Genomic DNA, 26,094 nt, shown 5'->3' on the forward strand with positions numbered 1-26,094 from the left:
ATTACCCTAGCAGACTGTAGGAAAGAAAGAGAAATTAAGTGGAATGATAAAAAATAAAGCCATATTTTGTGCTCACTTGCATTTCTGGACGAAGATTCATACATTGCTTTATTGTGTAGTTAGGGCAAACAATGTGTTCCCAAACACAACAATATTTGGTTACAGTCTATAATGACAATCTAAGAAGCTTTTGTTTATTCTGGTCATAATAACTAAAAACTTTTGAGCACTTCTATCATGCCAAGCATTGTGCTAAGGACTTCATACTTATTATCATGTTGAGTATTTAAAACAACACAAAACGGTAGAAATTCTAATTATCAGTATTTTGTGGATGAGAAATACAAGTCATTGAGATGATAAAAAATTTTCCCATAACAGACATTATAAAGATTTCCATTTTATTTGTGATGATCGCTTCCTTCAAGGGACTATTTAGATGGGATGTCTATGCCAGAATAAGAGTTCCCTTGGGATTCCAAATTAACTACACAGTATACAAAGCCAAGATATCATTAAGTGTCTTTTAAAAATTGTTCATTAGCATGAAAAGACCTTTACTGAGGGAAAATTTGGACCAGAAACTGCCAGGAACTTGGGTTAACAAGGGCAACTTCTCCTTCAAAGAAACCCAGCCACGGTGGAGTTGTTAAGAGGTTTGTTGTCAAGAGATGATCTAATTTCTCAAGCACACTAGCCATTAAGTCAGAAAACTACAGATTTTAGAACTTGAAAGGACCACCAAAATTCAGTTCAGCAAGTGATTGCCTTAGATAAACAGGTCACCACAATCCTACATTATTGGTGGGTGCAATTAAGGCCCTGAGTGATCAAGGGGTGTGGAAACTAATTGTCTTGCCATTTAATAAATACTTTTTCCATGGCAACCACGTTGTCCCTCATTTCCTGCAGAAGAGAATTCTTTCTTTTATGGAAAATTCTTGAGAGAATTTAGATTCTATGAGATGACAAAAAGCAAAGAATGAAGAACCATACTACTCCATACTGGCATTTGGTTCAGCCACAACACAATACCAGTGTATTAGTCAGAGTTTTCCAGAGAACCAATAGGATATCTCATCTGTATCTAATCTGTAGGTATCTATATCTATTCATCTCTCTCTCTTTCTCATATAATAGAGAACTATGTGTCTCAAAGGCTGGAAACTCAGGCTGGTCTCCTACATTGCAGTCCCTTTTTTGGGAAATCCTCAGACTTTACTCTTAAGACCTCTAACTGATTGGAGGCTAATCTGCTTTATTCTAAGTTTACTGGTTTAAATGTGAATCTCATCAAAAAAAATACCTTCACAGCAATCATTGACCCAAGAAGCTTGAAAGGCTTCTCTAGTTTAGGGTTTCACCAAAGACAGGTTGCATGGAATTTTAGTAAGCATTCCACCCAAAAAGTTTCTGTGATCAATGTTTTTTGGCTTAAACAATGTCAAACACTTTTATTTATTAGAGAAAGCCTTTATTATGCTCAAAATGCTGGGAATTCCCCATGTGGGGGTTATGGTTTGCAGTGATCCCTGGTTTTTATACTCAATCTTTTTTGTGTGAGTCATCTCTCTGAACAAGCATTTTTGGAAGCAGACACACTGATTAAAATAAATCTCTCTATTTTGTAGCTGACAAAACCAAGGCCAAGAGAGGGGAAGGGCTCTGGCTCACAGAGAGTTGGTGGCAGTCACAGACCAAAGTTTACTGACTTCAGTGTTCTTTCCAAATGCAAAATGTAAAAAGTTGAGAATAAATGGAGAGGATTGGAGCCATTCCTAGGGAGGTGTTTGACCCAAGGCAGGCAGCTCTGGTGGGTTTTGTACCTCTCCAGCATTTCTGAATAGCTGAAGTTAGGCCTGATTCATGCAGAGATGGGAGATGGGTACATGGTAGAAATGGAAGCCCCACTGGCTCTGTTTTGATGATGGTCATGTCTGTAGACTATCAGAAGATAGAGCCATCTCCTTTTCTCCCTGAGTCAAATTTCTCTGAGTAACAGCCCATTTGTCAGCAGGTGGTGGTGGGAGAAGGGGTTGAGTGAACCAGTCTTGGGGTTTGAGACAATTGCCTCCATTTGCTATACCTTGAAGATGACAATGGTAGCAATTTCCACCTAGTTGAAACATATCATCAGAAGAAAGGTTATTAATATATGAGGGCATATCAGTCAAGGAAGCTATTTAGCATTACAATTAATAGGGGAATATCTTCAGAAGCTCCTTTCCAGGAGAGTCAAAAAGCCTTATTAGATTAATTCTTTTTCCTTGGCTATTGGCTAGGGCAGATGATTTAAAAGCTATTATGCTAAATTTATTTTGTTATATTCTCTTTCAGGAATAGACATCCCCCAGTATGTGTGAATTTCTTAGATTCATTTACATCTTTACTTTAAATCTTTCTGGGAACTCTTCGGTGATCCCAGGTCATATAACTTCATATAACCTCGTTCATATTTTCTTCTGTGATAGAAGCATCAAATATAGGTGCCAGTATCTAATTTATTATTACTGGTTTTCCCAGTGTTCTCAAGCAAGTGTGGAGGAGACTGGGACATAAACTAAAACCATAAAGTCATCCTAGGGGATGAGACCAGTATTGTAAAGATATTCATATTTTGTCTGACAATGGCCTGTGGTGGTTCTTCACAAACTAGCCTTGAAAATTAGGAGATAATCACCCGTGCACCCCCTTTTTCTAATTGTTAAAGACCCAATCCTCAAATCATCTTATTTCCCCTTACATTTTCCTCTTAGAGCTAAGAGCATCTACATATTTAATATCCATGACATAAAGCAGCTCTTGTTGGGGTTCTCACCACTGCACCCTCTCTGGGTCAATCATGGATTCTGAAAGATGCAGCAAAATGGACACTTTCAGCATATGCACTTTCTTTAAACCTGGGGTCTTAGCTTCGGTTCCCTAGCAGCAGAGCCTGCAGCAGGAATTCTAGCACAAATAATTTATTAACAGCATGATATCAGGTGAATTCAGTAAGGGAATGAGAGAAGTGGCATAGCACAGGGGAAGAAGCTAAGCAAGATGTGGTTTCAGCTGGATGATTTCAGCTGGAATTTAGGCGCAGTCTGAATTAATGGGAAGCTTTGGAGCAAGACTAGTACCATGGAATTGTCAAACATTGAGGCTAGATGGGCTTTGTGTATCCCTATATCAGTCAGTTAATGGCTGCAGGTTGCCCTGGGGGGAAGGGGTAACTTCTTATCAGTTCTGGTTGAGGGAGCTACCACAGCAGTTCGTGGAGGATATGGCAGCTGGGGGATTGGTGCATTGGTTCAGTAAAAGGTACCTGGGTAGGTCACCAAGAACAGCTATAACTAGGCAGACTTATTCTGAATCCCCACTTCCCTGTTTATTCTTCTGACTTTAGCATACATTAGCATAAAGATAACATATACTGCACTCCCTCAGCCCAGAAAACAGACCCAGCTCTTGGCATTCAGCTCCCTCCTTCACCATAACCCACATAACCTAAACACTAACTGGAGCTCCTAATTTTAAATCCCCAAATTTACCCTCACATCTTTAAGCCTTGAACTCCCTCATCTCCTCTCTGTTTATTAACCATTTACTCCATTGACAAGAGTTTCTGCTCACCACCCAGATTCGGTTTTGGTAGGGCAGTGCATTAATTATTTATTGCAATGTAAGAAATTACCTCCAAACAGAGTGTTTTAAAACAATGATAAACGTTTATTTTCTTATAGTTGGGCTTGGCTGGGTTGTTCTTCTAGCTCAGGGTGTTTTTTTGATTTTTCTTTTGACAAACATAACATCTGTTTTTCAGATGTTGGCTGGGGCGGCAATCATTTTGAGGCAGGAGAATAGGGCCTGGAGGCAGGGAACCTAAGGTCTTCTTAGAACTGAATCAAATGGAAACACTTCAGCTATGATAGGAAATATCCTCTTCATTTACATTGGGCATACGACTAGTAAATGACTTCGTAATTTTACTTCATCCTCTTCACTTACATAGGTGTACACCAAGTAACCAACAGAAACCTCTAGAGGGTATTTAAACACCAGAAAATTCTGTAACTGTGCTGTTGAGACCCTATACTCATGCTCACTCCCACTCTGTGGGTGTACTTTCATTTTTCCATAAATCTCTGCCTTTTTGCTTCTTTCTTTCCTTGCTTTGTGTGTTTTGTCCAGTTCTTTGTTCAGGATGCCAAGAACCTGGACACACTCCACCGGTAACATATTTTGGCAAGCCAGACAGGAGGTAATCCCAAAGTTTGGGATTTATTTTTCTCCTTTTCTTTTCTGCTCCATACAGGGGAATCTCTCTCTCTCTTTTCCTTTCCAACTCGGGCCCCTTGGTGGGCAGTGCCTAAACACAGAGGCAACTGCAGATTTCTGGCCGGGGCCGCTCTGAAGGAATATTTTCTATTTTTTCCGGTTGTGGTCCCTAATCCCTACATGTGGTACAGCTCAGGGTGAACTGACAAGCGTTTCATGTGACTGAAACCTTCTTTTCTTATGTTAAATTCTTCCCTTACGCTACTCAACTGGCTAAGGGCAGAAGAAACCCACCCAGCCTCCAGTTCCTATCATTAAAGTTCATGGCTATCACTAATGGAATGGGAAGCACGGGAAAGCATGGCGTTATCAAATTATAAGGATGCTAGAAGTTGAGGCCTTCATCCAGGGACAAAAGGAAAGCTCATAGTAGGCTATCCCCTCTGGAGGGAAAGCATGCAAAGTGGCACTGGTGCCCACCTAAGGTCAGAGACATCTGACACTCTAAGATTGGACCCTAAAGGGGGATTCCCTGGGGGATCCTCCAGACCCCAACCTCTCCAAAGCGGACGCCCTTGGCAGAGGTCCTGAGGTCTAGTGCTAAGCCCCCCTTAGAATTTTCTCTTGCAGTTGCAATACTGTGTGGACCCCATATTGTTTGGAATCTGAAGTTTGCTGTTGAATGGGAAAGTGGGACGGAGTTTTATGTGTCTAGGCTTTTGTGCTGCTTTTCTAAGCAGGGGGCCTGGTGAACGTGTTATGCTTTCCTTTGGTACCGTTTGGCCCCAGTGTTCTTTGGAGTCTGGGGAAGTTTGGCCTCTAAAAATCAAACTGCCATGGAAACTGCTATACCCGAAATTTTGGTTCACAGCCTTCATTGGATTACCTATTGGGGCAAACAAAGTAAAACCAGTGAGCTTGTATTGCTATCTCATGGCTAGGGTTCCAAGGTAAAAGCTATTGAATCTTCATTTGTGTGTGTGTATATATATATGTCTAGATGTGTTTATTTGTATGTACACTTGTTATACGTTGTGTCTACCAAATTGGCCTATAAAAGAGCACTCATAAATCAAGTAAATAAGTCTGAGCAATTTTCAAGTTCACATGACTTAAGTATAACTTTACTAAACAAGCTGGTTTTTAAATTATTGATAAAATAAAAATAGAAATGCCTTCAGAATTGTTAGCATACATTTTTATCTGGATTTTATTTTTATTTTTATTTGAGACAAAGTCTTGCTCTGTCTCCCAGGCTGGAGTGCAGTGGCGCGATCTCGGCTCACCGCAAGCTCTGCCTCCCAGGTTCACGCCATTCTCTTGCCTCAGCCTCCCAAGTAGCTGGGACTATAGGCGCCCGCCACCACGCCCTGCTAATTTTTTGTATTTTTAGTAGAGACGGGGTTTCACCCTGTTAGCCAGATGGTCTCCATCTCCTCACCTCGTGATCCACCTGCCTTGGTCTTCCAAAGTGCTGGGATTACAGGCATGAGCCACCACATCTTGTCGTTATCTGGGTTTTATATTTGTCTCTGCTAGATATTCTGAGGTATCAGGGTTTGGCATAGAAAGTTATAAAACTATAAACCCAGCCAAAACAAAATGATCTTGGTTTGCCTGCCCTTTTTTTTTTTTGACAAATGATAGTAATTTAACATTAGCTAAATCTTCTGAGCTGTTGGCCAAAATATCTATGTACTTAACTTTGAGGCTCTTACTTAGGTTTGGGTGAGCACCTGATGTTCACTGGCTATTAAAAATGTGGTTAACAAGGAAATAACTCACTTTAAATAATAGTGTCTAATATCTCAGTTTACAGAAGTAATCTAGATAAACTGTTTAAAAATGAAATAAGTACATGTAAATGGGATAAATGTTTTAGGTGAACTTTTTGTGTAAATTAAAATCTTAAAATTATGTTTGATGCTCATTGAATATCTGGGTCATTTCCAATTAAGAAAGGGTTGTGATATGGGGAAATATGTTTCTAAATACTGTGGAATTATTCTTATCTATAAATGTCCATATCTCGTAGCTCAAGATTTCTTGCTTTTTAGGATTTCACTAAAGTTTTAGGTTACTAAGGATAAGAATTCTAGTTAACACATAATTTTGTATACAAAATGTACCAGAAAGGGTTGTGTTATTAATGAGAAAAAGAATAATTTCATCTAATTCAGAAGTTATATAAAAGTTCCAGTTACAGACTTCAAAAGGTTATTTATGAAATAATGTACTACGTAACTAGTAGGTAGGGGAGAAAAATGTGGAAAAAGTTTAGATAATATTCTTTAAAACCTGATAGGGAATTGGAGACATTTCACTAATTAACATTTTCATAGTTAAAGCTGTTAGTCTTGACTGATAAAATAAGAAGTATTGTAAAGAAACGCATTGGCAGTTTGGCAATTCTTTTTTTTAAATACAGTTAAGCATGAAGCTGGATTTAGTGTGGAGCCAAATTTCGTATACATAATTGCATTGCTTCCCCCTATGTTTACTGTTTTGTGTGGATAGTGCTGGCACTGGAGTACTTATTGGTCATGTGCCTAGAGTGAATTTCTTGGTTGTACAGGATGTATGGTGATATTGGTGGACTTGAGGATACTTAATTGTGTATCAGGAATAAAATATTCATTATGTGAGTTTTTTTGGGACCCTGGGTAACACTATAGTCTCCAAGGTAGATTGAGTAGGAACATTTAGGGTTGGTGTCCTGTTTACTTGTCTTTGCTTCCAATTTTCATTTGTTTGCTGTTTATTCTCCTCTGGCTTTCCTTGTGTGTGCATATATAAAACCATTTATTTTTTTGTTTTGTTTTTTAGTTTCTAGTGGAAGGCTTTTATTTGGTTCTGTGGATAGTTATTTTGTTTCCTATGCATTCCTAGCAAGTCATCATTTGTTTTGTTTATCTGGAATTCCTAGGCTACCTTTGTCAGGCCCGCAGGAATTGATGGAGCACAAAAACTTTCTATCCTTAAACTAACTTTTTGGAATTTAGGCTTCCTGATACTTTAAGGGTGTTGAGTGTACTTTCTTAAATAGAATTTGAGTCAATATTTCTCTCTCTGCCTAATTTCTCCAAAATTTGTAAACTATGTGTGACTATTCTTAATTCATTGCAATGTGATTGTTTGCATACACAGTTGAGCAGGGTTGCTAGGGCTGCTCAGGGAGAGAGAACCCAGAAACCTGGCATGCTGGCAAAAGGGTAAGAATTTCTTACCATTCAGACTCTGGCCTCTCTCTCTCTTTCTTTCTCTCTGTGCAAACTGGTTAAATGAATAGTAAAAGTCACTGTTTATCTCCTCTGTAAAGTTTTGATTAATATAAAAAAGAATTCTGAGGCTGGTCTTAAGCTGTAGTGAATCTGGTGTGCTTTATGTGTCTTTCTGTATTGTTCTGTCACAAAAAGGGGTACATTAGGATAAAATGCGTGCCTAGGACTCCATAGGCTTGCTGTTCAAGATGGCCCAGCAAACTGGACAGTCATGTCCTTGGGAGCTTGACCTCGTAACCATGTGGCCATGCTTTCTTTCTCTTTTCACAATGGCAGCTGGGTTTAGGGTTCAATTCCTGGCTTAGGGAATGAGTCCTTTATCTTCTATCTATGTATTTATGTGTGTTGTGTAATATAAAAGAACTTTAATTAATTGGTTTAATAATAAGAGCTTAAATCAAATATTTTGTCAGAAAAGTAAAAAGTTTAATGCCTTTTATTTAGTTCATGTGGCTTAAGTAATCTTTGGGAAATAAAGACAGTTTTAAAGATTATTGGTAAAATAAAAATATCTTCAAAAATGTAAAAATTTGGTCTAAATTATACAGGTCAGATACCAGGTTTGCTAAATGTTTAAGGTCATAAACTGCTTGTTTGACTTTTAAAAATTATTCAATTTATTTTGGAGTATTAGATTCTAGGTAAGACCTGGAGACATGTGAAATTAGTCATGTCACCTAGCTATGCAAAGAAGTTTATAAAGAAAAGAAATCTTACATAAGAAAGGATCTTATATGGTAAATTCTTGTCCTAAAGTAAAATAACAGGTTGTTTAAAAGGAGAGATGTTTAGGACAAGTCAGAAAGTCCAAGCATATTATAGATGGTCTGTGTAAATCATGAAATAATTTATGAAAGAGAATTTATGCAAGAAATGTTGTACAGTTTAAAGGTGATTAGGCCTCCTAAATGCTTCATAAAATGCCACTGTGACTCTTAACTGTACAACTTGCCTGCTTTACAGCTAGGTAAAGCCTGGGACACATGGAGTTAGATGCTGGAAAGGGTCAGACCTTATCTGGACTTCTGGGTGGGTCCTAGGCTCCACCCCTAGTACATAATTAAAATCCCAAACTTATCAAGGTTTTCACCAAAAGTAAATGTCGCCAAGAGTTAGCATTGTAACATGTAATTGAGCCTACTGAAGAAACAGTTTTACATGAAAGGTATGTAAGAAAAGTGAAATATGTTTTTGGTAAAAGATTATAAGAAAGCATGGGAATGTGGGTTTTTTTGTTGTGCCTAAAGGGCTAAAAGATTGTTTTAAGTTAGAATAAAGCTAAAGGTTTGAACAGGTTGTGGAAGGTTTGCAAACAATTAATCTTGTAAAAAATTATGTGTGTGAACATATTGACTAAATTTAAAGGGTTATTTTCTGGTTTGTCTGTAAATTGAACATTGAAATAAAAACACAAACATGGTTTTCTTAAAGCACTGATCTGCTCTTTACTAAAAATTTATAGAGGGTTATAAAAGATTTATGAGATTCTCATTGTATGGTCAAACTGATTAAGATCGGAAAGATTTGTCTATAAGGTTTTATTAAAAATTGGGGTTGACATTAATAGTACACTAATGCAAGGGTGAAATGTGGCTTTCTCTCCTGAACAAGATTTTCATGTAATATTAAAAGACACTGAAAGATTTTTATTTGCCTTTTGAATAAACTACCAACAAAAAAAGAAGGGAAAGACAAGAGACAGATTGTTTGGAAAGCTAAGTCTTCCCTCTTTCAATGAGTGAAGGTTTTTGCCTAAAAAAGAGGTTTTTTTGATAATCATTTTGGCTAAATGAATGACTTATGGTAACCTGGAGTTCTATTTCATAATATCAAGTGTTTTAAGCCTCTAACATATTTGATAGGCTTCCCAAAATCAAATTGCAGCTTCAAAATTGTCTTTTCTGACCTCTAACTTTGAGATGCTGCGAAGGGCCCCTGAATCATCCAAAAGAGAGGTGAGAAGAATCATTTGACACGTTTAGTTACATGGGAAGTATTGACAAAAACTTAAAAAATTTAGTCTTCTTCAGGTTATAGTTTAGTGAATGATATTATATATTTTCCAAAATTGTATGGGATTTCTAAAATTCTAAGATGTCTGAGTATATGCCATCAATCATAATTATGGTTATTATGTTAAATGATTGTAAACCACAGAAATAACCAAATTTCCTTGTCAATTGTGTTTTTAACTGTAACTATTTAAAGTTATTTCCACAGTTAATTGTTTAATGCTGATGCAGTTTCTGAAAACGTCACAAGCACACAAAATCCTAGAATATGGTGTCTTTTAGGAAGTTGATTAAAGGATGGAAAGGACTCTAAAAAGCACTCTTGAATACAGGTTTCTGAGAACTTTAGAATCATATCATTTGAACTGGGTAAGAATTCCTGGAACTTTAATGAAAAGACTGACTGGGTTATAAAACTGCTAACCTAGGTAGAACAAAAATTAATTAAATACCAAGAAAATACTTTGCCAGATTTTTATGCTAAATCGGCTGTTACTGAAATTGTTTAGATATACAATTTGAATGAATTCCATGGTCTAAGTCAAATTACCTATGATAACCCATCAGTTACCAGTGTTATTCACCTAATTTGGTGAAACAACTGGTATTCAAGAGCATATAAGTCTAATGTTCATTAAGCATGGATTCATGGAAAATGAGGATGGCCACCTTGTCCTTCTCAAGTCCTTAAAGCTTTTATTATTAAAAGTTCAGCCAGGTGTGGTGGCTCACACCTGTAATCCCAGCACTTTGGGAGGCTGAGGTGGGCAGATCATGAGGTCAGGAGTTCAAGCCCAGTCTGGCCAATATGGTGAAACCCCATCTCTACCAAAAATACAAAAAAATTAGCTGGGTGTGGTGGCATGCACCTTTAGTCCCAGCTACTTGGGAGGCTGAGGCAGAAGAATCACTTGAACCCAGGAGGTGGAGGTTGCAGTGAGCCAAGATTGCCCTGGACGAAGATTCATCTTTGATGTAAACATCTTTTTCCAAGATCACAGATTAAGACTTCTACTATCATGAGACTCTTATCCTTGAATATTTTTTGTTTATGCCTCTATGAACAATAGAAATGAAAAAGGGATCTGTTTTGTGCACTTATGGGGTATACTTTTATTTGTGAAGGATTTTGCAGCCAGCCTTATACATGGATAATCTTATACTCTGATAGATAAAAGATGAAGACCCAGTGTAGGTGAGAAACTTTAATGCTACATACGTTGCCTCATAATCAGTCAGAAACAGAAGATTGGTTCACTCCTATTAACCCACTCATGGGTTAAAAAGAACATTCCCAGGAGGCCTTCACTCTTCTATAAGAGAAGGGCATCATTTATTAGGTCTATTTTCCATTTGGAAGGATTTGGAATAAAAGAGGTAATGATTAAAAATGTATCCCTCACAATAGGTTCTATAGCAGATTCTACTGTAAAGTCTATAGTTACACAACAGACTTTAAATTATCTTGTGAAAGTTATGCTAAAGAATAGAATTGGCCAAAGAGAAAAGTATCTATGCAGCTGCTGGCAGTCATGGCCTATGGTGGAAAACATCAGGTATTATAGAGTTTCAGTTGTAGTGGATTAACAAAGAGACTGTTTAGTTAAGTGAGTAGACTGCTTATCTAGCTCATTCTTTGATCTATTTGATTTTAGGTGGTTTGGTTTATGGGGACCCTGGATAAGGAACATACTTCAAACTCTTGGTATTATCCTTTTGATAGTCATAATAATAGTCTCCCTGGTGCATTGTATTCTCTCAAAGGTTTTACATGCTTGCATGCAGCCATCTCTAGAATGTCAAATGGTCTCTCTTCAAGTGGAATGACAAAAGCTGAATGAAATATGTGACCACAAGGACACTGTAACCTATGAATGGCATGCTGAGACCAGAAACCCAAAATGATGGTAACTGAGAGTGGTACTAAGGCTCTAAGTTTTGATCATACTCTCACCTAAGTGAGAACCTGACCAAAAGGGGGGAATTTTTAAAAACAAAATTGTGGTAGGCCATTGTTTTGGACTGAGCTCATGCATTAGACCTCATCAGATCAAACCAAACAAAATGGAGTTGCTTGGGCTAAGACTTTAAGGCGATACATTGTATTAGTCCATTCTCACACTGCTGATAAAGATATACCTGAGACTGGGCAATTTACAAAAGAAAGAGAGGTTTAATGGATTTACAGTTCCACGTGTCTGGGGAGGCCTCACAAGTATGGTGGAAGGCAAGGAGGAGCAAGTCACATCTTATATGGATGGCAGTAGGCAAAGCAAGAGCTTGTGCAGGGAAACTCCACCTTATGAAACTGTAAGAGCTCTTGAGACTTATTCACTATCATGAGAACAACATGGGAAAGACCTGCCCCCATGATTCAATTACCTCCCACCAGATCTCTCCCATAATACGTGGGTATTCAAGATGAGATTTGTGTGAGGACACAGCCAAACCATATCATTCCGCCCCAGCCCCTCCCAAATCTCATGTCCTCACATTTCAAAACCAATTATGCCTTCCTAACAGTCCCCCAAAGTGTTAACTCATTTCAACATTAACTCAAAAATCCACAGTCCAAAGTTTCATCTGAGACAAGGCAAGTCCCTCCTGCCTGTGAGACTTTAAAATCAAAAGCAAGTTAGTTACTTCCTAGATACAATGGGGGATAAGCATTGGGTAAATACAACCATTCCAAATGGGAGAAATTGGCCCAAACAAATGGGCTACAGGTCCCATGCAAGTCCAAAATCCAGCAGGGTAATCAAATCTTAAAGCTCCAAAATGATCTCCTTTGACCCCGTGTCTCACATCCAGGTCATGCTGATGCAAGAGGTGGGTTTCCATGGTCTTGACAGCTGCACCCCTTGTGGTTTTGCAGGGTACAGCCTCCCTCCCAGATGCTTTCACAGGATGGCATTGAGTGTCTGCAGCTTTTCCAGGCTCATGGTGCAAACTATTGGTGGATCTACCATTCTGGGGTCTGGAGGATGGTGACTCTCTTCTCATAGCTCCACTAGGTGGTGCCCCAGTAGGGACTCTGTGTGGGGGATCTGACCCCACATTTCCCTTCTGCACTGCCCTAGCAGAGATTCTCCATGAGGGCCCCACCCCTGCAGCAAATTTCTGAGCATCAAGACATTTCCATACATCCTCTGAAATCTAGGCGGAGGTCCCCAAACCCCAGTTCTTGACTTCTGGGCACTCATAGGCTCAACACCACCAACTTATAGGCTCAACAAGCAAGATGGCTGCATGCAAGCATGCCTTCTGCAGCCATGGCCTGAGCTCTATGTTGGCCCCTTTCAGCCATGGCTGGAGTGGCTGGGATGCAGGGCACCAAGTCCCCAGGATGCACACAGCACAGGGACACTGGGCTTGGCCCATGAAATGATTTTTTACTCCTAGGTCTCCATGCCTGTGATGGGAGGGGCTGCTGTGAAGACCTCTGACATGCCCTGGAGACATTTTCCCCAGGGTCTTGAGGATTAACATTCGGCTCCTTGTTACTTATGCAAATTTCTGCAGCCGGCTTGAATTTCTCAGAGAAATTGGATTTTCTTGTCTATTGCATTTTCAGGCTGCAAATTTTCTTAACTCTTATGCTCTGCTTCCCTTATAAAACTTAATGCATTTAACAGCACCCAAGTGACCTCTTGAATGCTTTGTTGCTTAGAAATTTCTTCTGCCAGATACTCTAAATCATCTCTCTGAAGTTCAAAGTTCCACCAATCTCTACAGCAGGGGCAAAATGCCACCAGTCTATTTGCTAAAACATAGCTAGAGTCACCTTTCCTCCAGTTCCCAACAAGTTCCTAATTTCCATCTGAAACCACCTCAACCTGAGCTTTTTTGTCCATATCACTATCAGCATTATGGGCAAGGTCATTCAACAAGTCTCTAGGAAGTTCCAAACTTTCCCACATTTTCCTGTCTTTTCCTGAGCCCTCCAAACTGTTTCAACCTCTGCCTGTTACACAGTTCCAAAGTTGCTTCCACATCTTCACGTATCTTTTCAGCAGTGCCCCACTCCTGGTACCAATTTACTATATTAGTCTGTTCTTACACTGCTGATAAAGACATACTCAAGATTGGGCAATTTACAAAAGACGGAGAGGTTTAATGGACTTACAGTTCCACGTGGCTGGGGAGGGCTCACAGTCATAGTGGAAGGCAAGGAGGAGCAAGTCATGTCTTACATGGATGGCAGCAGGCAAAGTGAGAGCTTGTGCAGGGAAACTCCCCCTTATAAAACTATCAGATTTCATGAGACTTACTATCACAAGAAGAGCACAACAAAGACCTGCCCCCATGATTCAATTACCTCCCACTGGGTCCTTCCCACAACACATGGGAATTCAAGATGTGATTTGGGTGGGGACACAGTCAAACCATATTACACATGGATCCTAGAAGAGAAGAGGTTTTGTTTTTCTCCTGTAAATCTCTATAACAAACATTCCTGAGAGCATAAGTATCTACCTCCTGAAGTTCCCATTAAATCTTTTAACCAAATTCATTTCCTCTCTCCTAGAGACCATCAAGCTTCAGATGATCATGTGACAAAGGTTCCAGTCAGTTCCAGGTGAAGACACCACCCCTGGTCATTAAGGAGCTACCCTGTCTCCATTAGACAGAGCAGGACAAGAGTTCTGTGATCCACAATGGGTAGGGACTACACCCTGAGCCAGCATGAAGCAGTTACAGAAGAAAGACCGTCAGTCCCTCTGCCTCCCATAAAGATTTATGGGGATCACATCTTTTGGGGGGAAATAAGACAGGAGAATAGGGCCTGGAGGCAGGGAACCTAAGGACTTATTAGAACTAAATCAAAGGAAAACACTTCAGTGATGACAGGAAATATCCTCTTCATTTACATAGGGCATACACCTAGTAAATGACTTTGTAACTTGAATTCATCCTCTTCATTTACATAGGGTTTACACCAAGTAACCAGTGAAAATCTCTAGAGGGTATTTAAGCCCCAGAAAATTCTGTAATCGCACTGTTGAGACCCTATGCTTGCTCCTGCTCCCACCCTGTGGAGTGTACTTTCATTTTAAAAAAATCTCTGCTTTTGTTGCTTCATTGTTTCCTTGCTTTGTTTGTGTATTTTGTCCAATTCTTTGTTCAAGACACTAAGAATCTGGACACCCTCCAGTGGTAACAATTTGCAAGCTCGATTGGAGGTGGAGTGGCTTCAAAATTGGCTTAGTCACATGGCTGGCAAGTTGGTGCTTGCTATTGGTGGGAGGCTTTCACTATTTCTCATGGGTTCTTCTCCAATGGGCTGCTTGAGCTTCCCTCCAGTATGGTAGCTGGCTTCCCAGAAAGAGTGGTCCAGCAGAACAAAGCAACAGCTGTGGTGACTTTTATGACCTATCCTCAGAAGTTAAACATGGTCTTCTCCATCAAGTGGTTGCACAGACCACCTCTGATTCAATGTAGGAGGAGACTTCAGATGATCACGAATAGTAAGAGGTGAAGATCATGCAGGCATCCTAGAGCCTGACTGTGACAGGGTAGTATATGCCTATATTCCTCCCTCAATATTTTCCTGTTTTCCTACTCTGCCTGTTTGGCAAGGACACAGTGGCTCCTAACCTCTCTACTCTTAATCTCTTCATTGTGTTTTCTTGATATTTCTCAAGATTCCTACATATATTGAGTCATACAGAATGTAAAACCAACAGTTTTTAAAATTAATCAATTTTAGCAGTTTTTAAGCTTTCAGAGCTGTCCACTTCATCCTAACACTTTAGGAGTTGGTGGCCATCCCATGATCTCCTTCACGTTTATGTAATGTTCTATCTGCCTGCTCACAGTCTGTATCTCATCCTGGAGAGTCCTTATTTGTAAAGCATATCTGTCTTCTTGTACTTATCCTTCTGGTCTCTTCATGGATCTACTACCCTTTCTAGTGCTTTACCTATGTCATCACAAAGATTCCAGAATGAAGTCTCCTTCCTTCAAGATGGCAACCCTGGAGCATGGTTTTATTTGAGCCTGAGCTGGAATTGCAAAATTAGGCAGCTTGGCAGGAGAAAGCTAGAGCCAGGCATCAGTGGACCCCAACCTCTGAAGAAACCAACGCTTTTACAAACAGCTCCCTTCTGTAATGTCATGGGAGAGTAATTTTTTGCTTTTATAGGGTTTCTTCAGACAGAAGTACCACACAAAGATTATACAAGGATCTATGCTTTTCCATGTGGGGGTTTGATACATTAATGAGAATTTGACAAATCCTGACCACTCTGCCATCTGTGGGCCTCATTCTGTTCCTACTTCTGTGATGCTTTCCATCTGTTCTGAGACAGAGGAACTCGTTCCACTGACATAGGCAATACTCCTAACCCTACCAGCTGTCTTACAAGGGTGTGTTGCTGCTCACTGGAGAAAATGAAAGAAAAGGTATATATTCAACAAAAATCCTGCCAGAAACAATTCACATTCTTCCGTACAGGTAGCTTACAAAGGGGCACAATATGGGATGGGTTTATATTAATCATATCTCATACTTTTCATGAGGTTATGTCATCTTACTGCTCAGAAACCTCCAATAGCTCTCACGACTTAATCAAACTCCTTATCTTAGCATTGTAGGCCTTCCGGCTGTCATTCAGGCTTCATGGCACTTTATTAATACAATATTCCTTTCCCTTCCCCGCTACATGTCACCTATACTTTAGCCAAATGGGACCACATACTATTGTTCTAACCTGCTCCATAAATTTCTGCCTCCATGCTTTTAGAAATTGTATTCTCTGCATTCTAAATGTTTTCCTGTCATGTTGACCATAGAAGTGCTTCCCTTCCCTGAGATCTGTGGTAAGTGCTACCTCACTTATGACACCCTTCCTGATTTCCTCTATCTAGTGATCTCACTTCCCCATGGACTCTGAGAGCACTTTAGTGGTAACGTGTTTATAGACTTACCACATTCTTCCGGATATTTGAGCTGTTACTGTAACAGAGTCACGATGCTTACTTCCGCACTTGATGTTTTCCAAAATATTGATGGCTGAGAGTGAGAACAATCTGTTTTAATTCTGCCAGTGATTATTAAATTTATCTTTGAAGAAGGGTAGATCTTTGAGTTTTGGAGAAGAATAAGACTTAAGGGAGTTTTAGATTATACAAATGAAAGATAATCTTTTGGAATACAGAGACTCTGGTCCAATGTTTCTCAATTTGGTTTCCACAAAACCTTAAAGTTCAATATGTCATCACTAGGGGTTTGTAAGAGATTTTGATTTAAAACCTAGACATCAACTTTCGAAGTTTGCATACTTTGAGGATAGATAGTGGCTAAGCAGACATGTCAGCAATTTCATTCGGGGTCTTTCAGCCCCATTGTGGCAGTGTGCAATAGGATTGTATTTGTTTGTGCCCAGTTTGGTTTATGATGCAAGCTATGGGAGGTTACTGGTAACTGATGAGTGCTATATTGCACAGACGAGAGGGGTGGTAAATGGATGACATGAGTTTTTCCTTCTCTAACTATTTCCCCTAAACTCCCCTTATGCACTACAGGATGACTCACAGGACCAAACAAGCTTTGCTAGTATAACTAAAAATGAGGGGAAATTTAATTTTCATTCTAAAGGCTCAGCTGCACCCTGCCCCACCTCCTGCCCCCAGTTTTGTTGTGGTTACAAACATGGCAAAACATAGGTTGAAAAAGACTAAAAGTGATTTCTCCAGTGATTGATGAGTTTGGGGGGATTTTTAAATTTTACTATGCTCTTATGTTTTACACTTAACTCATGTTTGTATTTTATAAACATGTTTGATAACCCAATGTGGTAATTTTTGAAGGTGAGATGTGAGATGGAAGAGGAAAATTTTAGGCCTGGGGATAACCCTGATAAGGGTAGTGATGATGAATTATAACCTTCTGAGTCATTTTCCTGTGTGATTGGAACAAAGGACACAGAAAAAGTCCATCTTTATGATGAAAGACCCTTACCAAGGAGCTTCTATAGGCTGATTATCCAAATTTTCTTATTTTATTGAGAATCATCCATGTGAGGAGGCCAGCAAGATTTTTCTGTAAAGAGGCAGGTGGCAAATATTTTAGGTTTTTCAGATCACATGTAGTCTCTGTCACATATTCTTCTTTGTCTTTGTCTGCTTGTTTAAATGCTTTAAAAATGTAAAAGCCAATCTTAGCCCTGAGGGCTGTACCAAAGCAGGCCTCTGGTGAGGTTCGGCCCATGGGCTGTCATTTGCCAATCCCTGCTATGTCAAACAACTTAGAGATGTGGGAATGGCTCCAATAAAAAAAAAAAAAGAAAACCCAAACAAAACAAAAACCCTTAAATATAAGTCATAGGTATTCGAGAAGTAAAGATGCTGATTACTTTAAGCAGCTATTAGAATCTTAAAACAAACAGTAACTCTTGTTAAAAACACACAAACACACAAACAAACAAGAAACAGGTACATTCAGTGAAAAGGACCAGGGAGCAAGTTATTTAGTAGCAGAACTTACTGTCTTAAACAGGAAAAGTCACACAGTTGGTAAGGCTAACAATGTGATCATGTAAAATTACTGTGAATCAAAGGCTAGGAAAAGATGCACTACAAGAAACTGAAAAGGTTCCACAGCCTCAAACAGTGTCATATGGTGAAGTATTGATGACACGTCACACAACTTTGAAGAGGTTTTGTGACATACCCTGAAAAACCGCAGCTTCCTTTTCTAGGTTGATGAGTCAGGGGATTTCACCAATAAATGTCATACTTAGCATTTGTAAGATTTGCAAGTAATTGTGAAATTCAAGAAAACAAAGAGTGGCCCATAACAAGGAAAGGCCAAGATATAATTAATGTTTGGCCTTCATATCTATAAACAAAAGGTCTAAGAACTACATTGACATGAACACTGATAGTGCTCTGTCAAATTTGGTTCTATGAGAGCTTTTGCATCTTATTAAATGAAAAAAGTTTCTCACATTTTCACAACACATTGGCTTCTTCAAAGAGAATGTCAAACATTCTTGGAGATGAAATGAAAGTTTTAGATAATATTACAAAATGGCTATCTTTGTTATATAAAGGCTAACTTGAGAATACTTTTAAAACTGAAAAGGTGTCGATAAAGGCCACAGAAATATCCTGCTATACACAGAAATTTGGTGGCTCAGCAGAGGAAGCATTTTCAACAGGGTGTTTGAGCTAAAAGATGAAATTCAAAAGTACTTTCAATATCATACTGGGCAAGTTTCGTTAAGTGTTTTGATGAACAATGGCTACAAAAAGTTGCCTTCTCAGCGGACATTTTTCATTATGTGAACAAGTCTCTGCAAGGCCCTGGAGAAAATGTTTTGACTTTGAGTGACAAGATTCTTGAATTTAAAAGGTAACTGAGAGGGACTTCCGATTCAAGTGATGATGGAATAAGACCCTTGTGAAAAATTCCCTTGCAGTAAAACAACTATAAAACCTAAACATAAAGCAAAAAGCAACTACTTGAAGGCACTAGAGAGAGAACAGAAGCAGAAAGACATTGGCAAAGAATAAATATTTGGAAGAGGAAGCAGTATGAAGTAAGTGCCCTGTGTCTGTGGCTTCTAGCCTTGGTCTCAGTGCAACCCACTGAGTGTGCACAGTGGCAGTGTGGTAGAAGCATCAGTAGAAAACCCACCATCTCTCTGGTAGGGGAATCCATGGCTGATGGAGAGAGTTGGAGAATTCCCAAAGAGAAAGAAACAGAGAGCAAATCCCCAAAATTTTGTCTAATGATTTCTCTGACTGATTCCTGAATGACATATGCATGAAACAGACCAAAGGCAGTTCAACTAAAGACAAATGATCTGAACTGAGACTAGAGTTAAGATGCAAGAAACAAAGTTGCATAAGCCAAAGAAAACCACTTGTTAGAGAAGCAATAAAATCAATAATCTGCACAGCTTGATATTCATAAAGTCCAGGGTAAATCCAAAATTTCCCAACAAAAAAGAACCAAGAAAAATGGAATGTATCAAGAAAAGAAGATCAATTGAGACCCTCAGATAAGATGTTAGATACAACAGACAAGGATTTTTAAACAGCTATTATAATGATATTCAATGAAACAAAACAAAATATGAGCTCAATAAATAAAGAAAAATTGAAAATTCAACAGAGAAAAGCAGACAAAACTAAATTGAAATTCCAGGACTAAAAAATGTAATATCTGATCTAAAACAATCACTGAAGAGAACAGCTGAGTGGAAGTGACAGAGGCAGGAGTAAGTGAAGTGAAAAATAGATAAATAGTAATTGTTCCATGTGACAAACAGGGAGAAAAAAAATTGGAAAAAAACCTACAGAGTGCAGGGACTTGGTACAAAAATATTAAATGTTCCAATATATGTGTAATTGGAGTCCTAGGAGAAGAGATTAAAAAAATAGAAAAAAGATGATTAAAAATGGCCCCCCAAATCTCCCAAATTTGATAAGACAGAAATTTACAAATAAATATGCTCAAAGGACATCAGGTAAAAGAAACATAAGCAATCCCACATCAAGGTACATCATGGTCCAACTGTTTAAAGCCAAAGATTGAGAAAAGTCTTCAGACTATCAACAGAAAACACCATATATAATAGAACGATTATTTAATTAACAGCTGAGTTTTCATCATAAACCACGGAGAACTGAGTGGTAAAATATCTTTAAGGTGCTGAAAGAAAAAAAAAAAACATCAACCCAGATTCTATATCCAGATAAAATATTCTTCAAGAACAAAGGCAAAATAAAGATATTTTCTGATGAAAGAAGCCTAGAAGTATTCATTACAAGCAGACCTGCACTAAAAGAAATGGCCAAGGAAGTTCCTCAGGCTAAAGGTAAATGATACCAGATGATATTAGTATCTCCATAAAAAGAAGAAATAACATAAAAAATTATAAATACAAAATAATTTTTGTCTTTGATTTTTCCTCTTAACTTCTTTATGTGACTCACATAACTCTTCAAAGAGAAACTATAACAGTATCTTCTATGATTTATAACAAACATAGATGTAACAGATATAATAATTATAACATGAATCATGAAGGGCTTATGGAACCAATGGCTTCCAGGTTTTTCTAATTTACTTGAGTAGTACATTATTAAATGTAAATGGTAAAGTTAAGGATTATATTGCACTCATAAATTAATTACTAAAATAATAATACAAATAAGGATAGCCAATTATTTCAAGATGGAGCAACAAGGACTGAATATATCCTCTTGCCTGAAACAACTAAAAAATAAGAAAAAAATATGAATATTAAGGCATTGGGTATCAGACAATAAAATACAGTGAGATGGTAAACAAATGAAATAGCCTATCATTGCCCCAGCTTACTGCCTTGACAAGAGTTTTCAGGCATGGTGTAGGGAGGAGAAGCCAGGCAGAACCTGGATGCCTCCCTGCGTGGAGGACTCAGAGCTGGGAGAGAGGAGAGGCCAAGGCAGCTAGGGTTTTCAGGGCAGAGCAGCAGAGAGAAGAGAACTCTGGAGATCAGCAAAGGGTCCCCTGATTCTTCAGCTGGGTACTGATCAAAGCCTGTATCTGAGCAAATTAGCCAAGGCTGGGGAAAGAACTACTCAAAGGATTAGAGAGAATAATACTCAGAGCTCACCCAGGGCCTGGAGAAGTTTCTGTTCCCAACAGCCAGAGTGGAAAAGCTCATGATTTATGGAGAATCAGGTAACATATACAGAAGATGTTTGACTCAGTAGTCAGGGAAAAGTCATTCTAGATGAAACACTTTCTAGAAGAAAGCCTAACAGCAATTCCTGAGAGGATTTAACTGTTGCCAAGTAATCTAACTGTGTTAAGGACAAAGATCAAGAGTATTTTTAGGAATACAAATTGAACAAGTTAAAATTGACAATACCTGGCATACAATCGACTGTTACCAGGTGTGTTCATTTTCTGTTGCTGCCTAACAAATTACCACTGTTAGGGACTAAAGGTGTGTTTCCCCCCCAAATTCATATGTTGAAATTCTAACCTCAATGTGATGGTATTAGAAGGTGAAAATTTGGGCAGTAATTAGGTCATGAGGGTGGAGCTCTTACAAATAGGATTAGTGCCCTTATAAAGGAACCAGAAAGCTCTCTTGCCCTCTTTCCACCATGTAAGGATACAACAAAAAGCTGACAGTCTGTAACTCGGAAGAATACCCTCACTAAAACCCAATCACGTTGGCATCCTGATCTTGGACTTGCAGCTTCCAGAACTGTGACAAATAAATTTCTGCCACCTAGTTTGAAGTACTTTGTTATAAGTGCCCAAACTGACTAAGGGAACCACAAATGAAATGGCTTAAGATAACATACGCATTTATTACCTTAGTCCAGACAAGGCTCAATTAACTTCTCTGCTCAAGGTCTCACAAGGCTGTGATCAAGATGACAGTTGGGGCTATAGTTTCATCTGAGCCACAGTGTCCTCTTCTGAGGTCATGTGATTATGGGCAGAATTCATTTCCTTACAGCTGTAGAACTCATAGAGTTGGCATCATCCTCAAGACCATGAGGGACACATTTCTCTGGCTTTCTCTGTTTCTTCTCTCTAGCTTCCTTGTTAAGAGATCATCTGATTGTGTCAGGTCTACCAAAGTCAATTTCTCTCTTGATTAATCCAGTTGATTTGGTACTTTCATCTTTGAAATGTTATCTTGTCTTTGGACATGTAATATAATTATAAAAGTCATATTACTTCATCAAGGCTAGGGGGTTACAAAAAAGCATCTGTCACTGAGGTCATGTTAGAGTTTTGCCAGCCACACTAGACAAGTAAAGAGGCAGAAAAATATGACCCACATTTTGGGGTCATGATGAGAAAAATCAATGGGTAGAAATCAGCCTAGAAATGACACAGATGACAGAATTGATAGACAGGGACATTAAACCATCATTATAGCTATGTTCTAACTTTAAGAAGCTAGAGGGAAGATTGAGGATGCTAAGCAGCAACAGGGAAGACATAAAAAGACACAAATGTAGCTTTTAGGGATGGAAATTAACAATGTTTGAGAGTAAAAGTGCACTGGTTAGACACTGCAGAAGGAAAGACTAGTAAACTTGAAGATTTTATATATATATATATATGTATTTATATGTGTATATATATGTATATATATATACATATATATATATATGATCCAAAATAAAACATACAGAGAAAAAATATTAAACAGAGAAATGGGAACCTGTAGGAGGCTTAAACTCTGGATAACTGAAGTCTCAAATTTGGAGGTGGATAGAATAGAAAAAATATTCAAGAAAATAAGGCCAAACATTTTCAAAATTTGATAAAAACTATAAACCCATGAGTCCCCAAACCACCATGACCCTCAAGCATAAGAAACATGAAGAAAATTACACCAAGTCACTTCAAAATCAAACTGTTAAACCCGGTGATAAAAAGAAAATCTTAAAAGCATCCAGAACAATGACATGTGTAGGGGAAAGAGGATAAGAAAGACATCAGGCTTCTTGTGGGAAATAATGCATGGGAGAAGACAGTGAAGCAGTATTTTTAAAGTACTGAAAGAAAAACATCTGACAAGCTAGACTTCTATATTCAGCAAAAATCTTTCACAAATGCAGGCAAAAAATAAAGAATTTATCTTTAGCACTGTTTCACAAAAGATATTTTAAAGGAAGTCCTTTAGGCAGAAAGAAAATAATACCAACTGGAAATCTGCATTTACACCAAGAAATCTTAAGCACTGGAAAACCATACCAATACTATAAGGATGGATTTTTCCCTGACTACTGAGTCAAACATTTTCTGAATATGTTACCTGATTTTCTTTTTTTTTTTCTTTTGTTTTTGTTTTTGTTTTTGAGACAGAGTCTCGCTCTGTCACCCAGGCTGGAGTGCAGTGGCGCCATCTCAGCTCACTGCAAGTTCTGCCTCCCAGGTTGATGCCATTCTCCTGCCTCAGCCTCCCGAGTAGCTGGGACTACAGGCATCCGCCACCACAACCGGCTAATTTTTTATATTTTTAGTAGAGATGGGGTTTCACCGTGTTAGCCAGGATGGTCTCGATCTCCTGACCTTGTGATGCGCCTGCCTCGGCCTCCCAAAATGCTGGGATTACAGGTGTGACCCACTGCGCCTGGCCCTGATTCTCTTAAACAACAACAAAAATTAATGCAGCAAGTAATCATAGTCACCCAAAGAAGAAAACAAATGGATTCATAAAATTCTCAGTCCAACAGAATATAGAAAAATTGGGAAAACGTAACAAATGACAGATGGTAAAAATTTCTAGTTTTGTGTGTATTTCTGTAGTATTAATTTTAGAAGTAAAATTTTTAGTTGAATTAGAAAATACCAAGATGATAGATTTAAAATCAATCATATTAACATTCAAATGAATGTAAATGGTCTAAACATTCTAATTAAAAGCCTGAGATGGTCAAATTGGATTTATTTTTAAAAAGATCTCTTTATATGTTGCCTAGAGGAAATCCACTTTAAGTATGAAACAAAAATAGGTTATAAGCATAGGACTGGATTAGAAATGCCATTAATTAATGCTAACATTAATTAAATTTGAGCTGGAATGGCTGTATTAATATCAGAAAAAGTAGATTTCTAAAGAAAAATAGTACTAGGGATAAAGAGGGTCATTTCATAATGATAAAGGTGTCAATTCATCACGAAAGCCTAACAATCGCAAATGCTTATGTATCCAAATATTAAGCTTGAAAATGCAAAATGTAAAAACTGATAGAATTGCAAGTGCAGTAGACAGACTTACAAACATGGTAAGTGATTTGAAAATCCCTGCCCGAGATATTGATAAAACACTAACAGCCAGTGACCTAGTTGACTTTACACAACAAGTCACCTAACAGCAACAACATATTACACATTAATTTATATATACGCACAAATATATATATAGCTTTTGGGGTACAGGTGGTTTTTGGTTACACAGAAGAATTGTCTAGTGATGAAGTCTGAGATTTTAGTGCAGCTGTCACCTGAGTAGTGTACACTGTACCCAATATGGACTTTTTATCCCTCATCCCTCCCAACCTCCCCACTTCTGAGTCTCCAGTATCCATTATACCACCCTATGCCTTTGTGTACCCATAGCTTAGCTTCCACTTATAAGTGAGAACATACAGTATTTGATTTTCTATCCCTGAGTTACTTTACTTAGAATAATGACCTCCAGCTCCATCCAAGTTGCTGCAAAAAAATATTATTTCATTCTTTATTTATGGCTGAGTAGTATTCTATGGTGCATATACACTACATTTTCTTTATTCACTCAGTGGTTGATGGGCACTTAGGCTGGTTCCATATCTTTGTAATTGTGAATTATGCTGAGATAAACGTATGGGTACAGGTGTCTTTTTTATATAATGACTTATTTTCCTTTGAGTGCTCAGTAGTGGGATTGCTGGATTGTATAGTAGATCTACTTTGAGTTCTTTGAGAAATCTTCATACTGTTTTCCATAGAGTTTGTACTAATTTACATTCCCACCTGCACAGATTACACATTATTTTTGAGTGCACATAGGAGACCTACCAAGACAGAACATATTCTAGACCATAAAAGGTCTTCATATATTTAAAATGATTAAAATTTTACTAAATATATATTCCTATCCTACTGGAATTAAATTAGAAATTAATAGAAATCTCTCAGGAAAATCCCAAAATATTTGAAAACAAAACAACACACTTCTAAATAACTCATGAGACAAAGGAGAAACAAAAAGGGAAATTACAAAGTATTTTGAACCGAATAAATATGAAAATGCAACATATAAAAATGTGTTGCATTTAGAGCAGGACTTAAAGTGAAAGTTATAGGCTTAAATACCTACCTTAGAAAAGAAAAAAGGGATCAAATTAATAATCTCAGTTTACCCTATAAAACAACTAGAAAAAGAGGAGCAAATTAAACCTAAAGTAAGCAGAAGAAAGGAAATAATAAAGATTAGAGTGTAAATCAGTGACTGATAAAACAGAAAACCAATAAAGATAATCAATAAAACCAAAAGTGTGTTCTTAGAGAAGATCAATAAAATTGATACATCTCTAGCTAGATCAATCAGAAAAAAAATAAAGGACACACAAATTACCAATATCAGGAGTGGAAGTGGTGATGTAACTATAGATTTTTGAATTATTAAAAAGAACGCAAGGAAATATTATCCATTATGTCAATATATTTGACAACTGAGATGAAATAAATTCTTTAATAGATGCAAATTACCAAAACTCACTTAAGAAGAAACATACTTGACTGTCCCTGTATCTATTAAATAGAATTTGTAACCAGAATATTCCAACAAAGAAAATTCCAGGGCCATATACCATCACTAGTGAATTTTACTAAACATTTAAGAAAGAAAGAAATCAATTATACAAAAACTTCCAAAAAATGAAGGGACTTATTCCCAACTCATTCTATGAGACTAGAATTACCTTATAATAAAGTCAGATAAAGACATCACAAAGGAAAAAAAAAACTATAGACCAACATCTCTAATGAGAATATGTGCAAAAAATCTAAACTAAATTTTATA

General features: G+C 37.9%; 1 annotated feature.

Moving 5' to 3' along the window:
* Positions 17,563-18,762: an enhancer, noted in NCBI's record as "P300/CBP strongly-dependent group 1 enhancer chr7:105986583-105987782 (GRCh37/hg19 assembly coordinates)". NCBI's record gives its function as "activates an origin of replication core promoter dependent on BRD2, BRD4, P300/CBP, MED14 and CDK7 cofactors, with strong dependence on P300/CBP, by STARR-seq in HCT116 cells {active_cell/tissue: HCT116}" and the evidence as "EXISTENCE:reporter gene assay evidence [ECO:0000049][PMID:35650434]".

This window comes from Homo sapiens, chromosome 7, assembly GCF_000001405.40.
Source record: "Homo sapiens chromosome 7, GRCh38.p14 Primary Assembly".
In the NCBI taxonomy this organism is placed as follows: Eukaryota; Metazoa; Chordata; class Mammalia; order Primates; family Hominidae; genus Homo; species Homo sapiens.